Raw genomic sequence first — 17,385 nt, 5'->3', positions numbered from 1 at the left:
CTGTGGAGAGACTTGGCTGGCTGTCTTCTCACTTCCTGACGTCAGAAAGGATTTCAGAAGCCAATCGAGGTCCCCTTGAAAAGCCACTGCTATCCATGCTGTCCAGGCCCCCAGTGCTATAGGAAAGAAGGCAGGCTTCTAAAATCCATCAGGACTGGAAGAAGTATCTTCTACTCAGGCAGTTTCCTTAGATCAACGTCTTCAATAGCACAGTTAGAAACTGAATAGAAATTGACTTGCCTTGCTTTGCTTGTTTGCCTTCAGGTAGTTTAGGGGAGGCTTTTGGTTTTAAGATTTAGTAAAGTCGTATGTTTACTGCGGCACTATTCACAAAGACTTGGAACCAACCCAAATGCCAACAATGATAGACTGGATTAAGAAAATGTGGCACATATACACCATGGAATACTATGCAGCCATAAAAAATGATGAGTTCATGTCCTTTGTAGGGACATGGATGAAGCTGGAAACCATCATTCTCAGCAAACTATCACAAGGACAAAAAAACAAACACCACATGTTCTCACTCATAGGTGGGAATTGAACAATGAGAACACACGGACACAGGAAGGGGAACATCACACACCAGGGACTGTTGTGGGGTGGGGGAGGGGGAGGGATAGCATTAGGAGATATACCTAATGCTAAATGACGAGTTAATGGGTGCAGCACACCAACATGGCACATGTATACATATGTAACAAACCTGCATGTTGTGCACATGTACCCTAAAACTTAAAGTATAATAATAATAAAATTTTAAAAAAAAGATTTAGTTAAGTGACCAAGATAAGCAACTAACAATTAGCTGAGCCTGTGGAATCCAGGTTTTCTGGACCCGTATCCCATTCTTTTTCCTCTTTCACCTGCAATTTTAAAAACAATTTTTAACTTCAGTAAAATTTACCCTTTCCGCTGTACATTTCTATGAGATTTGACAAAGCATAGCCATTTCTTCAACTTTTGACTTCTTTCCCCAATCCACCCACTATAGTTAACTTTTCAGCACCCTCAGGGAGTGTGGCCTCTTGTATTCTGCCTGGAGTTTTTAGTTGTTGTTAATGGGAGAGATAGTTGAGGTGGGCTTACTGCATCTCTGCCAGCCCCGGAGCCCTCTAGATAGTTTTAACATTTTGGAAAGAACAATCTGTTTGTATAGTAGTTGGGCTTAGTATGTAAGGAAGAGAGAACTTTCCTTACTGGCTGGGGAGCAGGTCATGGATTGGTCCATGAAGGGGTCCCAAGGAGAAGGAAACAGGAACCCGAGCCAGGTAGCCCCGGGGCTCAGACGGAACCTTCAGGGATGCTCAGATCTAAGGCCTTCAGCAAAGGTTGCCTGGGCAGTTGAAGGAATTTCACTCTATGCCTCCAGGCCTGAAGTCTGTCCGTTTCTCTTCCTACACGAATGGGCTTTCCTTTCTATGAACATTCTCTACCGTGTAGCTTCTGCTCACAAATGGCTTCTGTTCCCTTGGAATTTGACTTATGTGTGACTTATACATCATGCTTCCCCTCCTCAGGGGCTCCGTAATTCTGTTTTCTTTCAGCCTCAGTTCCCACCGTCACCTGCTTATCTCAATATTTCCCAGTTCAAATTATTGACAAAGAATAAATAATTTGTCCACTCATCGTTTTCCATCAGCCCTGTCATAGCCTCGCCTATGGCTCAATTAATTCTCCATGGTCCAATAAGTTATAACCAGCCGGAGAGGGTAGAAGGTATTGTCACCTGTTACTCTGTGGCGGCCTGAGGTTGTTCCTGTCATCGCCCTATCTAGAATAATTAGAACTGCCAAGGTTCTTCCTCTACTATTTTTGTTGTTGTTGTTGTTCTCTAACAGCTTTTTTCTCATAATTTTTTATTGTGGTAAAATACGCATATCATGAAATTCACATATATTTAAGTGTACAGTTCAGTGATATTAAATACACAGGCGAGGCCGGGTGTGGTGGCTCACTCCTGTAATCCCAGCACTTTGGGAGGCTGAAGTGGGAGGATGGCTTGAGCCCAGGAGTTTGAGACTAGCCTGAGCGACATAGGGAGACTTTATCGCTACAAAAAATTTAAAAATTAGTTAGATGTGGTGGTGTGTGCCCGTAGTCCCAGCTGCTTGGGAAGCTGAAGTGGGAGGATCACTTGAGCCCAGAAGGTCGAGGCTGCAGTGAGCAGTGGTTGCGACAGCGCCACTGCACTCCAGACTGAGCCACAGAGGGACACCTTGTGTATAAACAAACAAACAGGCATACCTCAGAGATATTGTGGGTTTGGTTCCAGACAACCACAATAAAGCCAAGCCAATGTTGCAATAAAGTGAGCCCTACAAATTTTTTGGTTTTCCAGTGCATGTAAAAGTTTTGTTTACAGATTCTGGTTTTTTTTAGACAGTTTCACTCTTGTTGCTCAGGCTGGAGTGCAATGGCGCGATCTTGGCTCACTGCGACCTCCCCCTCCCAGGTTCAAGGGATTCTCCTGCCTCAGCCTCCCAAGTAGTTGGGATTATAGGCGTGCACTACCATGCCAGCTAATTTTGTATTTTTAGCAGAGGCAGGGTTTCACCATGTTGGCCAGGCTGGTCTCAAACTCCTGACCTCAGATGATCCACCCACCTCGGCCTCCTGAAATGCTGGGATTACAGGCCTGAGCCACTGGGCCCAGCCTGTTTACAGATTCTGACGGTGCAATTGTTGTCTAGCTAGGGAGACAGATCCCTGGCGCTTCCTACTCCTTCATCTTCTCAGACTTCTCCTCTCTAGAATCTTTTAAAAATTTTTACTGTGAAATATTTCAGATAAATAAGCATATATAAAAGATACATGTACGGTTTTTCAAATAAAGCAAACATCACTGTACCCACCACCATCTGGCTTAAGAAACAGACTTAGTCAGGCACGGTGGCTCACATCTGTAATCCTAGCACTTTGGAAGGCTGAGGCCTGTGGATTACTTGAGCCCAGGAGTTCAAGGCCAGCCTAGGTAACATGGCAAACCCCATCTCTACTAAAAATACAAAAATTAGCTGGGTGTAGTGGCACACCTGTAGTCCCAGCCACTTGGGAAGCTGAGGTGGGAGCATCGCTTGAGCCTGGGAGGCAGAGGTTGCAGTGAGCTGAGATCGTACCACTGCACTCCAGCCTGGGTGACAGAGTGAGACCCCATCTCAAAAACACAAGCAAACAAAAAACAAGAAACAGACTTAATACTCTAATACTCTCTTAGAGGCAAGTTCCTCTATGCCCCTCTCTTCCTTTCTCTCCAGAGAAAACCAACATCTTGTATTTTGAGTTAATCATTCTTTTGCTTTTTATGAGTTTTAATATCTTTAAATGTATTCCTAAAATATATTTTAGTTTTGCCTGATTTTGAACTTTATATAAGTGGATTCACAGCTATATAGCCTTCTATGACCTGCTTCCTATATTCAATGTTATTTTTTGGAGGTTCATCTATGTTGATGTGTGGAGGGATTTTTTTTTCATTTTTAATTCCTTACAACATTCTGTATGTATATATATGTCTGTATATATGTCTATATATGTATAATTACACATTTGTTAATATTCTATAACATATGTATAATTATACACGTATAGATGCCCAATTATACATCCATTCCACTGTTAGTAGACATTTTAGTATTTCTGGGTTTTGTTTTTATAAGCAATATAGACATTTGTACATACTTCCCATATATTGGCAAGAGTTTCTCTGGCGTACATACTTAGGGCAGGTTTCTGGGTCATAAAGTATTATTATTCTCAGACTTATTCGATTACAACATTTTCTCCCCAAAGTATTTATATCAGTTGACTCTCCCAACAACAGGAGATGAGAGTTCTCACAGTTCCACATCCTTCCCAACTTTGGTTTTGCCTAGCTTTTAAAATATTTTCAAATAGTTGAGTATGAAAATGGTATCTACAATTTGCCTATCAATAAGAACAAGCATCTTTTCATATCCTATTAGTCTCCTGTTAAAATGCCTATAAATGGGCCAGGCACAGTGGCTTACGCTTGTAATCCCAGCAAGGCCGAGGCAGGCGGATCACTCCTGAGGTCAGGAGTTCGAGGCCACCCTGGCCAATATGGCGAAACCCCGTCTCTACTAAAAATACAAAAATTAGCCAGGCGCGGTGGCACGTACCTGTAATTCCAGCTACTCAGGAGGCTGAGGCAGGAGAATCAATTGAACCCAGGAGGCAGAAGTTGCAGTGAGCGGAGATCACACCACTCACTCCAGCCTGGGTGACAGAGCAAAACTCTATCTTAAAGAAAGAAAAAAAATTGCCTATAAATGTTTTTACACTTTTTTTTACTGATTTGCTTGTATTTCATTTATTGATTCACAGGAGTTTTTTTATATATATATTTTAGGTATCCCAAGCCTTCGAGAGAATATTTTCTGTTGTCTTCTAAAGTTTTAAAATGTTGCCATTCATATTTTCATTCTAAATCTGTATATAATATTCATATATGCTATAAAATTAGGTCTCTAAGATCACTTTATTTTTTCCATTTGAAAGACTTATTGGCACAGAACCATTAATTTACCTTTCTCCACAGAGAATTTCCACTCTGCCAAGAATCAAGTTTTTTATGCATGCATGAGTTTATTTCTGTGGTTCTATTCAATTGCATTAAAAAAATGACTCACAGGGCTGGGCACGGTGGCTCACGCCCGTAATCCCAGCACTTTGAGAGGCTGAGGTGGGCGGATCACGAGGTCAGGAGATCGAGACCATCCTGGCTAACACAGTGAAACCCCATCTCTATTAAAACTACAAAAATTAGTCGGGCGTGGTGGTGGGCGCCTGTAGTCCCAGCTACTCGGGAGGCTGAGGCAGGAGAGTGGCTTGAACCCGGGAGGCAGAGCTTGCAGTGAGCTGAGATTGCACCACTGCACTCCAGCCTGGGCGACAGAGCAAGACTCTGTCTCAAAAAAAAAAAAAAAGAAGAGTCACAGCATGTCCCCCTCTTATTCTATTCTCTGAAAAATTTGGGAAAATTTGAAATTATCTGTTCTATTATATTTGGTAGAACTACCACTAAAACCAAGCATTAAGGTATGGTATGTTTTTTAATATTTTAAAATTATGTTTCATTGACTTTAATAATTGTAGAACTAGTGTTTTCTATTTCTCCTTGAATAAGTTTTGGTAAACTATAGTTCTCTATTCGTTTTTTTTTTATTTCCACTAAGTTTGCAAGTTTATCAGCATACATTTTTTCCCTAACATTCCACTGTTTAGTCTCTGCAGCAAGTCTATTACAGACCCCTATTCAATCCTAGTGTGGTTTGCACCTTTTCTTTCTTTACACAGAAATAGAAATCTTACCAATGGTTTATCCTTTCATCACCCCTTCCAGATAAATACATTTTTTTCTTGATTGATCCTCCCTATTAAATTTTGTCATTGGATTCTCCCTCTTTTATTTCTGCGATTAATAATTTCCTTCTGGCTGGGCACAGTGGCTCACACCTGTAATCCCAGCGCTTCGGGAGGCTGAGGCAGGCAGATCACGAGGTCAGGAGATCAAGACCATCCTGGCCACATGATGAAACCCCGTCTTTACTAAAAATACAAAAATTAGCTGGGAGTGGTGGTGGGCACCTGTAATCTCAGCTACTCAGGAGGCTGAGGAAGGAGAATTGCTTGAACATGGGAAGCAGAGGTTGCAGTGAGCCAAGATTGCGCCACTGCACTCCAGCCTGGCGACAGTGAGACTCTGTCTCAAAAAATACTGCTATTACTACTACTAAAAACTTCCTTCTATTTTCTTTTGTTTTTCTTTTACTTTTTATTCATTCATTTATTTAAAAATATTTATCAAGAGCCTATTCTTTCAATACAGGTCAGTATTATGAAGAAAGGGTACAGAGTGAGATGAGAAGGCTTACCTATTAACAGACATGTGGCTATGGCTATGTCAGGGAATCACCTTTCCTCCAAAACAGTGATGCTTCCTTGTCTCTAACAAGATCAAAACTGTAATATCTCCTTTCTTTCATGTCTACAAACCTTTTGTTGCAAGGCATAGAGCATAAATTGAACAGTGAATCAGTTTATTACAATTAATGTTTTTTCATCTTTTATCTTAGAATCAGGGGTACATGTGCAGGTTTGGTATATGGGCATTTATGTGGTGCAAGGTTTGGGGTATGATCAAAGCCGTCATCCAGGTAGCGAGCATGGTACCCAATAGGTAGTTTTTCAGTCTTTCCCCTACTTCTTCTCTTCACGCTCTAGCAGTTTCCATTGTCTATTGGTTCCATCTTTACATCCATATGTACCCAAGGTTTAGCTTCCACTCATAAATAAGAACATGAAGTATTTGATTTCGTTTCTGTATTAGTTCACTTAAGATAATGGCCTCCAGCTGCATCCATGGAGTACTATTGTGAATAGTACTGCAATGAACGTACAGGTCCATGTGTCCTTTTAGTTAAATGATTTATTTTCCTTTGGGTATATACCCAGTAGTGGGATTGCCCTGTTGAATGGTAGCTCAACTCTTAAGTTCTTTGTCCTTCTCGATATTTTCTTTAAATTTACTCTGCCATTAAACAAACAAAAATCAGCAAAAATATAAAAGATCTGAATGACAAAGTAAACAAGCTTGATCTAATACCCACAGAAAATTCTGAACCTAACAATTAGAGAATGCACATTTTTCTCAAGCACTGAGAAAAAAAAAATTCTCTTTTTGAGATAGAATTTCGCTCCTGTCGCCCAGGCTGGAGTGCAATGGTGTGATCTCAGCTCACTGCAACCTCCGCCTCCCAGGTTCAAGCAATTCTCCTGCCTCAGCCTCCCAAGTAGCTGGGATTACAGGTATGTGCCACTATGTCCGGCTAATTTTTTCTTTTTTTTTAAGTAGAGATGGGGTTTCTCCATGTTGGTCAAGCTGGTCTTGAACTCCTGACCGCAGGTGATCTGCCAGCCTAGGCCTCCCAAAGTGCTAAGATTACAGGTGTGAGCCACCATGCCTGGCCAGAAAATTTTTTTAATGATCATTTATTATTCCTAAAAAATTTCAATTTCAAATAAATACTATATGTACTAATACCTCTGACTGCAATATAATTAAGTGACAATTTAATAACAAAATATATTTGAGAATATTAAAACATAATGGTAAATAACCCCTGGAGCAAAAAATTAATCACAATTGAAATTTGAAGGAAACTTAAAACAGAAATATAGTGAAACCACTATATATTGAAATGTATGGTATGGTTCAGTACCCATTCTTAGAAATGTATAACCTTACATGTTTACATAAAAAAGAATAAAGGTTCAAAATTATTGGGTCTAATGTCCATGTTAAGAAGTTAGAAAAATAACAACACAGTAAACCTAAAGAAAGTAGATGATGAGGTAATAAAAATAACAGCAGAAACAAATAAAATAGAAAAGAAAAGCAAAAGGTGATTTCAAAAAAACTAACACAGTGGACAAATCTCCGGTAAGATTAATCAATGAAAAAAAGAGAAGATGAGAACAATATCACTAATGAAAAAAGAGAATAGATGAATTGTATTAAAAAGAAAAGTATTGGCCGGGTGCGGTGGCTCACGCCTGTAATCCCAGAATTTTGGGAGGCTGAGGCGGGCGGATCACGAGGTCAGGAGATCGAGACCATCCTGGCTAACACAGTGAAACCCCGTTTCTACTAAAAATACAAAAAATTAGCCAGGCGTGGTGGCACATGCCTGTAATCCCAGCTACTCGGGAGGCTGAGGCAGGAGAATGGTGTGAACCTGGGAGGCAGAGCTTGTAGTGAGCCAAGATTGTGCCACTGCACCCAGCCTGGGTGACAGAGCAAGACTCCATCTCAAAAAAAAAAAAAAAGTATTAATATTCATATGCCAACAAATGTAACAACTTAGATGATATAGAGAAATTAACATGAAAACGGATGCAAAAGAAATTTTTTAATTTCATAAATCATCCTATAAAAAATTAAAGCAGGGCTGGATGCAGTACCTCACACCTGTGGTCCCAGAATATTTTGGGAGGCCAAAGTGGGAGGATCACTTGAGCCCAGAAGTTCAAGGCTGTAGTGAGCTATGGTGGCTGGGTATGCCACCATATGCTGCACCTTTTCAGGAACAGCATCAGAGGCTTAACACACTGGGTCGGGGGCAGGGGGATGGTACAAAGGAAGTAAACTTCACTAAACTTATCCAACCAGTTGCTAAAAATGAAACAGGCTAATAAAAAACCCCAGAGGGGAAGGATGAGTGCTGATATTTCTACAGTATCTAAAATGTCCAATTTCCAACAAAAACTTATAAGGCATGTAAAGAATCAGAAAGTATAAACCATACAACAGAAAAATAAAATTAAAAACAGGCAACATAAACTTCCCATGATTACAACAAGATATTAGATTTAACACAACAAGATTTCAAAATAGTCATTATAAATATGTTCATGGAACTAAGGAAAATATAACTAAAGGAGTAAAGGAAGTATGATGACAAAGTCACGTCAAATAAAAGATATCAATAAAGAGAAAGCATTAAAAAGAAACAAATGGAAATTATAAAGTTGAAAAGTACAACTGAAATTTTAAAAAATTCACTAGAGGAGCTCAACAGTAGATTTGAACTGGCATAAGAAATAATTAGCAAACCTTAAGACTGATCAAACAGATTATGCAAGCCAGAAAAAGACAGAAAAAAAACAGAATGAAAAATATGAACAGAGCTTCAAAGAAATGTAGGACACTGTGCATTTATGTAATGGGAGTAACAGAAGAAGAGGAGAGAAAGAATATGAAAGATTATTCGAAGTAATAGTGAGAAGAAATTTCCCAAATTTATTGAAAAACAATAACCTACACATCCAGGAAGCTCAATGAACACTAAACAGGATAAACACAAACAAATCTAGAAACAGATGCATGATGGTAAAAATGCTGCAATCCAAAACAGAAATAAGTGGTTGGGGGAAGAAGGAAGGGAAGAAATCCTGAAAGCAGCAAGGAAAAAAATGAGTCATCAATTATAAAGAAACTCCAATAAGATTAACAGCTAATGTTTTCACAGAAATTGTGGAAACCAGAATGCAGCGGGATAACATATTTAAAATGCTCAAAGAAAGAAACAAAACTGTCATCCAAGAATCCTATATCAATAAAAGTTATCTTTTAAGAGTGAGGGAGAAATAAAGACTTTCAAGGATTAAGAAAAAACTGAAGTAAAGCATTATGGAAAACAGTATGGAGGTCCCTCAAAAAAAGTAAAAATAGAACTACCATATAATCCAGCAATTCTACTTCTGTGAATATATCCAAAGGAACTGAAATCAATATGTTGAAGGGATATGTACAATTCCTAATTTATTACAGAATTATTTATAATAGCCAAAATATGTAATCCATCTGAGTGTCTATCAACAGATGGATTGATAAAGAAAATGCGGTAGGCTGGGCACGGTGGCTCACGCCTGTAATCCCAGCACTTTGGGAGGCCGAGGCGGGCAGATCACGAGGTCAGGAGATCAAGACCATCCTGGCTAACATGGTGAAACCCCATCTCTATTAAAAATACAAAATGAGTTGGGTATGGTGATGCGTGCCTGTAATCCTAGCTACTCTGGAGGCTGGGGCAGGAGAATCGCTTCAACCAGGGAGTCAGAGGTTGCAGTGAGCTGAGATGGTGCCTGGTGACAGAGTGAGACTCCAAAGAAAGAAGGAAAGATGAAAGAAAGAAAGAAAGAAAGAAAGAAAGAGAGAGAGAGAGAGAGAGAAAGAGAAAGAAAGAAAGAAAGAAAAAAAAAGAAAGAAAGAAAGAAAGAGAGAGAAAGGAAGAAAGAAAGAGAAAGAAAGCAAGCAAGCAAGAAAGAAAATGTGGTAGATATACAGAATGAAATACTATGCAGCCTTTAAAAAGAACAAAACTCTCACTTGGGACAACATGGATGAACCTCAAGTACATAAGGCTACGTGAAACATGGCAGGCACAGAAAGACAAATACTGCATGATCTCACTTATATAAGGAATCTAAAAAAAATTAATTCATAGAAGTGGAGTGGAAAATGTTTAGCAGAGGTCAGGGGAGATGCGAGGAAATGGGGAGTTATTGGTTAAAGTGTACAACATTTTAGTTAGGAGGAGTAAAAATTACTTTTTTAATAAAACAGCCTCTAGAAATGTTCTGACAGCAAAGAGTAAATGAAGAATCATCTATTCAAGAAAACCTGCAAAACTTCTGTAAGAAAGAAGACAGTCTGTTATTCAACAATTAAATATACATTTATCTCAAATGCACATAAAATATTATCTAGGGTAGACCATATACAAAGCCATAAAACATTTTAATACATGTGAAAGGACAGAAATAACACAAGGAATATTCTTTGAATACAAAGGAAATAAATTATAAATTGATAACATAAAAAAATTGAGAAACTTACAAATATGTGAAAATAAGATAACATACTCTTAAATAACCAATAGGTCAAAGAAGAAATAAAAATAGAAATCATAAAATACATTGAGATGATAAAAATGAAGACACAATTTATGGGATACAGCCAAAGCAATACACAGAGAAAAGTTTATAGCTGTAAATACCTATATGAAGATCTCAAATCAATAACCTAATCTTATACATTAAGACCCTAGGAGATGAGCAAACTGAACCTAAAGCAAGTGAAGGTATGAACATAATTAAGATCAGGGCAAGAATAAATGAAATAGAGAACAGACAAACAATGGAGATAAATCAATAAAACAAAAAACTTGTTCTAGGAAAACATCAATAAAATTAACACACTTGGCTAAACTGACCCTAATAAAAATACAGAAGACTGATTTCTAGAATCAGGAATGAAAGAGGATATAGGACTATAAACTTACAACAATAAAAAGTATTAGAAAGGAATTCTAATTAATGATTATATGCCCAAAAAAAGAAATAAACAAATCCCAGGAAGGCACAAAATACCAAAATTAATTTAAGAAGAAATAAACAATCTGAATAGACCCATAACACCTAGAAAGGCTGAGTTAGTAGTTTTAAAATTACTCACAAAGAAAATATCAGGCCCAGAGGGCTTCACCTATAAATTCTACCAAATATTTAAATAAGAATTAATACCAATTCTTTATTTCACAAACTCTTCTGAAAATTGAAGAGGAGAAAACACTTCCCAAATTATTTTAGAATAAAATGACAAAACCAGACAGAGACGTCACAAGAAAATAAAACTATTTATCTCTTAAGAATACGTACACAAAAATTTTTGACAAAATGCTAACAAATCAAATACAGCAACATATAAGAATTACACACCATGACTAACTAGGATTTATCCCAGGAATGTAAGTTATTTCAGTATCTGAAAATCAGTTAATGTCATACATATCAATAGAATAAAGATCACACAATCATGCCAATGGATGCCCAAAGAGCATTTGACAAAATCCAGCATGCCTTTATGGTATTAAAAAAAAAACAAACATGACTGGGCACGGAGGCGCACACCTGTAATCCCAGTACTTTGGGAGGCCGAGGCAGGCGGATCACCTGAGGTCAGGAGTTTGAGACCAGCCTGACCAACATGGAGAAACCCCATCTCTACTAAAACATTTACCAGAGATTTTATCCAGAGAAACTTGGCAAGAAAAATATATAAAAGGCATCTGAATAGGAAAGGAAGGCCAGATGCAATGGCTCATGCCTGTAATTTCAGCACTTTGGAAGGCCAAGGCGGGCAGATCACTTGAGGTTGGGAGTTTGAGAACAGCCTGGCTGATATGGTGAAACCCCATCTCTACCAAAAAATACAAAAATTAGCTGGGCGTGGTGGCGTGCACCTTGAGTCCCAGCTACTCAGGAGGCTGAGGTGGGAGAATCACTTGAACCTAGGAGACAGAGGTTGCAGTGAGCCAAGATGGTACCAATGCACTCTAGTCAGGGTGACTATGTCTAGCTAGACTTTGTCTCAAAAAAAACAAAAACAAAACAAAACAAAACCCAGATAGGAAGGGAAGAAGTAAACTATCTTGTATATAGAAAATATGAATTAATCTACTTTTTGAAAAAAGAATTAGAATTAATAAATGAACTCAGCAAGGTTGCAAGATACAGTATCTATATAAAAATCAATTGTATTTCTATACATTTGCAGTGAACATCTGAAAATGAAATTAAGAAAACAATTCTGGGGCAGGCACAGTGGCTCACACCTGTAATCCCAGCTCTCTGGGAGGCCGAGGATGGAGAATCACTTGAGGCCAGGAGTTCAAGACCAGCCTGAGCAACATGGCAAAATCCTGTCTCTACAAAAAATAAAAAAAAATTAGTCAGGTGTAGTGGTGCATGCCTATAGTCCCAGCTACTCAGGAGGCTGAGACAGGAGGATCTCTTGAGCCCAGGGAAGAGAAGGCTGCAGTGAGCTGATTGTGCTACTGCACTCCAGCCTGGGTGACAGAGTGATACTGTGAGGAAGGAAGGAAGGGAGGAAGGGAGGAAGGAAGGCAGGAAGGCAGGAAGGCAGGAAGGCAGGAAGGAAGGAAGGCAGGAAGGCAGGAAGGAAGGAAGGAAGGAAGGACCTAATAATTCTGTTCATAATAGCATCAAAAAATAAAATAAGGCCAGATGTGGTGGCTCATGCCTGTAATCCCAGCACTTTGGGAGATCGAGGTAGGAGGATCATTTGAGGCCAGGAGTTCGAGACCAGCCTGGCCAACATGGTGAAACCCCATCTCTACCAAAAATACAAAAAAATAGCTGGGCATGGTGATGCATGACTGTAATCCCAGCTACTTGGGAGGCTGAGGCACAAGAATTGCTTGAACCTAGGAGGTAGAAGTTGCAGTGAGCCAAGATCATGCCACTGCATTCCAGCCTGGTTGAGAGAACAAGTCTCTGTCTCAATAAAATAAAATGAAATAATAAAATAAAAAAGTAAAATAAACAATAAATAAAATAAAATCTTTAGGAATACATTTATCCAAAAAAGTGCACATCTTATACCCTAAAAACTATAAAATATTGTTGAAAGAAATTAAAGAAGACCTAAATAAATGGAAAAACATCCCATATTTATGGATTGGAAGACTTAACATTGTTAAAATGATAAACTGATTCCCAAACTGATCTAAAGAATGAACACACTCCCTCTAAGAATCTCAGCTGACTTCTTTGTATAAATTGAAAATTTTATCCTAAAATCTGTATAAAATTGCAAGTGATCTAGCATAGCCAAAGGATATGATGTGTGTCCCATCCAAATACGTTGAAATGAGATCTCCAGTGTTGGAGGTGGGGCCTAGTGGGAGGTGTTAGATCATGGGGCAGATCCCTCATGAATGGCCTAGCACTATCCCCTTTGTGATAAATGTGCTCTTGCTCTGAGTTCACATGAGATCTGGTTGTTTAAGAGTCTGGGACCTCTCCGACTCTCTCTCTCTCTCTTGCTCCTGCTCTTGCCATGTGACATGCTGGCTCTCCATCACCTTCCACCAGGATTCTTAGCTTCCTGAGGCCTCACCAGAAGCTGATGAGCCTCACCAGATGCTGATATACTTCATCTACAGCCTACAAAACTGTGAGCAAATTAAGCTTTTCTTTATAAGTTTTATAAAGTTTTATAAAGAAGTTTTATTAACTTTTTCTTTATAAATTACTCAGCTTCAGGTATTTATTTATAGAAACACAAGAATGAATTAATACAGATAATTGGTACCAAGGTGTGGGGCATTGCTACAAAGATACCTGAAAATGTGGAAGTGGCTTTGCAACTTGGTAATAGGCAGAGGTGGAAGAGTTTGGAGAAGATGATAGAAAGATGAGGGAAAGTTTGCAATTTCTTAGAGACTGATTAAATTATTGTGATTAAAATGCTGAAAAAATATGGACAGTGATGTCCAGGCTGATGAGATGGAAATGAGGAAATAACTCCAGTTATTGGAGTTATGCCCTATCAACTGGAGTTACCCATGTTATGCCCTAGCAAAGAACTCAGCTGCATTGTGTGCATGTTTTAGAGATCTGTGGAAATTTGAAATTAAGAGTGACGAAATTTCATAGAAGAAATTTCTAAGCAACAAAGTGTTCAAGAAGTGGTATGGCTGTTTCTAACAACCTATTATCAGATGTGGGAGCAAAGGAATGACTTAAAGTTGCAACTTATATTTAAAAGGGAAGCAGTGTCAACATTTAGAAATTTTGCAGCCTGGCCTTATGGTAGAGAAAGAATCCAAGCAGGCTGTGGAACAACCAGTTGCTAGAGAGATTAGCATGACTAAAAGGGAGCAAACTGCTAATATCCAAGACAATGGGAAAATAGTCTCAAAGGCATTTCAGAGATCTTCAAGGCAGCCCCTCCCATCACAAGCCCAAAGGCCTAGTAGGAAAAAATGGTTTCAAGGTTCAGGACTGGGACTCTGCTGCTCTACACTACCTCAAGAGGCTGCACCCCATAACCCTGCTGCTACAGCTCCAGCTGTGGCTCAAAGGACTTCAGGTATACCTTGGGCTCCCACTTCAGAGCATGCAAGCCATAAGCCTTGGAAGCTTCCATGTGGTGTTAAGCCTGTAGAAATACAGAATGCAAGAATGAAGGAAATCTTGGTTTGGCATCTGCCAGCTAGATCTCAGAGGATGTATGGAAAAGCCTGGGTGCCCAGGCAGAAGCCTGCTACAGGGTTGGAGCCCCCATAGAGAAACTCCAGGGCAATGCTGAGGGGAAATGTGGGGTTGGAGCACCCTACACAGAGTCCATACTAGTGGAGCTGTGGGAAGGGTCCACCACCCTCTAGACCCCAGAATGGTAGGTCCACTTGCAGCTTGCACCCTGAGCCCAGAAAAGCTGCAGGCACTCAACTCTAACCCACGAGAGCAGTCACATGGGCTGTGCCCAGGAAAGGCACAGGGATGAAGCTACCCAAGGCCTTGGGAGCCCATCCCTTGCACCAGGATGCAAGATACAGAGTTAAGAATTATGCTGGAGCTTTAAGATTTAATGCCTGCCCTGCTGGGTTTCAGACTTGCATGGGGCCTTGTACCCTCTTCTTTTTGCCAATTTCTCCCTTTTGGAATGGGAATGTTTACTCAATGCCTGTACACCACTATTGCATCTTGGAAGTAAATAATTTGGTTTTGACTTTGCAGGCTCATGGATGGAAGAAACTTGACTTCAGTTTCAGATGAGACTTTGGACTTTGAACTTTTGAGTGAGTTGATGCTAGAATGCTTTAAGATTTTGAAGAACTTTGGGGAAGGAATGATTGTATTTTCCAATGTGAAAAGGATGTGAGATTTAGGGGGAGCAGGGGAAAAATATATGGTTTGGATGTGTGCCTCCTCCAAACTTCATGTTAAAATGTGATCTCTAATATTGGAGGTGGGGCCTAGTGGGTGGTATTGGATCATGGGGGTGGATCCCTCATGAATGGCATGGCACCATCCTCTTTGTGATAAATGGGCTCTTACTCTGAGTTCACATGACATCTGGCTATTTTTAAAAGTCTGGGACCTTCCCCCTTTGTCTCTTGCTCTCCCTTTGCCATGGAACATGCTGGCTCCCTGCTCCCTGTCACCTTCTGCCAAGATTATAAGTTTCTTAAAGCCTCACCAGAAGCAGATGCTGGCACTATGCTTCCTTTATGTTCAGCCTGCAGAACCTTGAGCCAATTAAACCTCTTTTCTTTATAAATTACCCAGCCTCAAGTATCTCTTTATAGCAACATAAGATGGACCAATACACTAAATAATCCTGAAAAAGAACAAAGGGGGATGACTCATACTTCCCAATTTCAAAACCTACTGCAAAACAATGATAATCAAGACAATGTGGTACTAGTACAAGGACTAATATATCAATAAATGGAGTAAACTTGAGAGTCCAGAAATAAATCCATGCATCTATGGCCTACTGATTTTCAGCAAAGTGCCAAGACTGTTCAGTGGGGAAAGAACAGCTGGATAGCTACATACAAAAGAATGAAGTTGGTCTCTTATTTTACATCAAATACAAAGGTAACTCAAAATGAGTCAAGGATATAAGTGTAAGAGTTTTGCTCTTTATAGTTTTAGACTATAAAACTCTTAGGGAGAACAAAAAAAGTAAAGAAATCAAAATCCTCATATACTGCTATGTGAGAATGTGAGATTGTACAGCTGCTTTAGAAAACAGTCTGCCAGTTCCTCACATGGTTGCACGTAGTGTTAACATATGGCCCAGAAAATCCACTTCTAGGAATATTCATAAGAAATGAAAACATACGTCCACACCGAAATCCACACATAAATATTCATGCAGCATTATTCATAATAGCCAAAAGGTGGAAACAACACCACAAATGTTAAGCAACAAATAAATGGATTTAAAAAGTGGTATATTCGTGTAATGGAATATTATTTAGTCATATTCATATTCATACAATGGAATATTATGTAGTCATAAAAACAAATGAAGTACTAATATATGGTACTTACATGAACTCTGAAAATCCATTAAGAAGCCAAACATAAAAGTCCACGTATTATCTAATCCCATTTGTGTGAAAGTCCAGACCGGGGAAATCTATAGAAGGAAAGTAGATTAGTGGTTACTTAGGACTGGGCAGGGTTAGAGTGAGAGAGAGCTTGTCAGAGTATGTGAGTTTTTTGAGGTAATTAAAACATTCTAAAATTGACTGTGGCAATGGTGGCACATATCTTTGAATATACTAAAAACTGTTAAATCGTACACATTAAATGGCTGAATTATGTGGTATGTGGATTATAGTTCAACAGAGCTATTTTTAAAATACATATGGAGGAAAAGGGTGTCAAGAATAACCAAGATACCTGTTAAGAAGAGCAGAGAGAGGGGATCAGATATGAGGATTTATTATGGAGCTGTAATAAAGACAGTGTGGTATTAGTTCAGGGATAAATAAATTGGTCAATGGAATAAAACTGACAGCCTAAAAATGCATGTATGTTAGGAACATTTTCATATGATAAATATGGAATGCATGATCGATATGAAAAGAAGTAGTTGATTGTTTAACAAATCGAGCTGGAAAAAATGATTTTCACATGGAAAATTTGAAATTGAATTCCTACCACACACCGTCTACAAAAATCAATTCCAAATGGATTTAGGGCTTAAACTCAGGAATAGAACTTTAAAACTCTCAGTATAAAATACAGGGTAAATGATAAAGAATAGAGAACCCAGAAATAAAGCCACATACCTACAGCCATCTGATATTCAAGGAAGTCAACAAAAATAAGCAACGGGGAAAGGACACCCTATTCATTAAATGGTGCTGGGATAACTGGCTAGCCATATGCAGAAGAATAAAACTGAACCCCTACCTTTCACTGTATACAAAAATTAACTCAAGGTGGATTAAAGATTTAAATATAAGACCTCAA

The sequence above is a fragment of the Homo sapiens genome, chromosome 17 (assembly GCF_000001405.40).
Source record: "Homo sapiens chromosome 17, GRCh38.p14 Primary Assembly".
NCBI classification, from domain to species: Eukaryota; Metazoa; Chordata; class Mammalia; order Primates; family Hominidae; genus Homo; species Homo sapiens.
The sequence above is the reverse complement of the archived record's forward strand: the minus strand, read 5'-3'. Positions refer to the sequence as shown.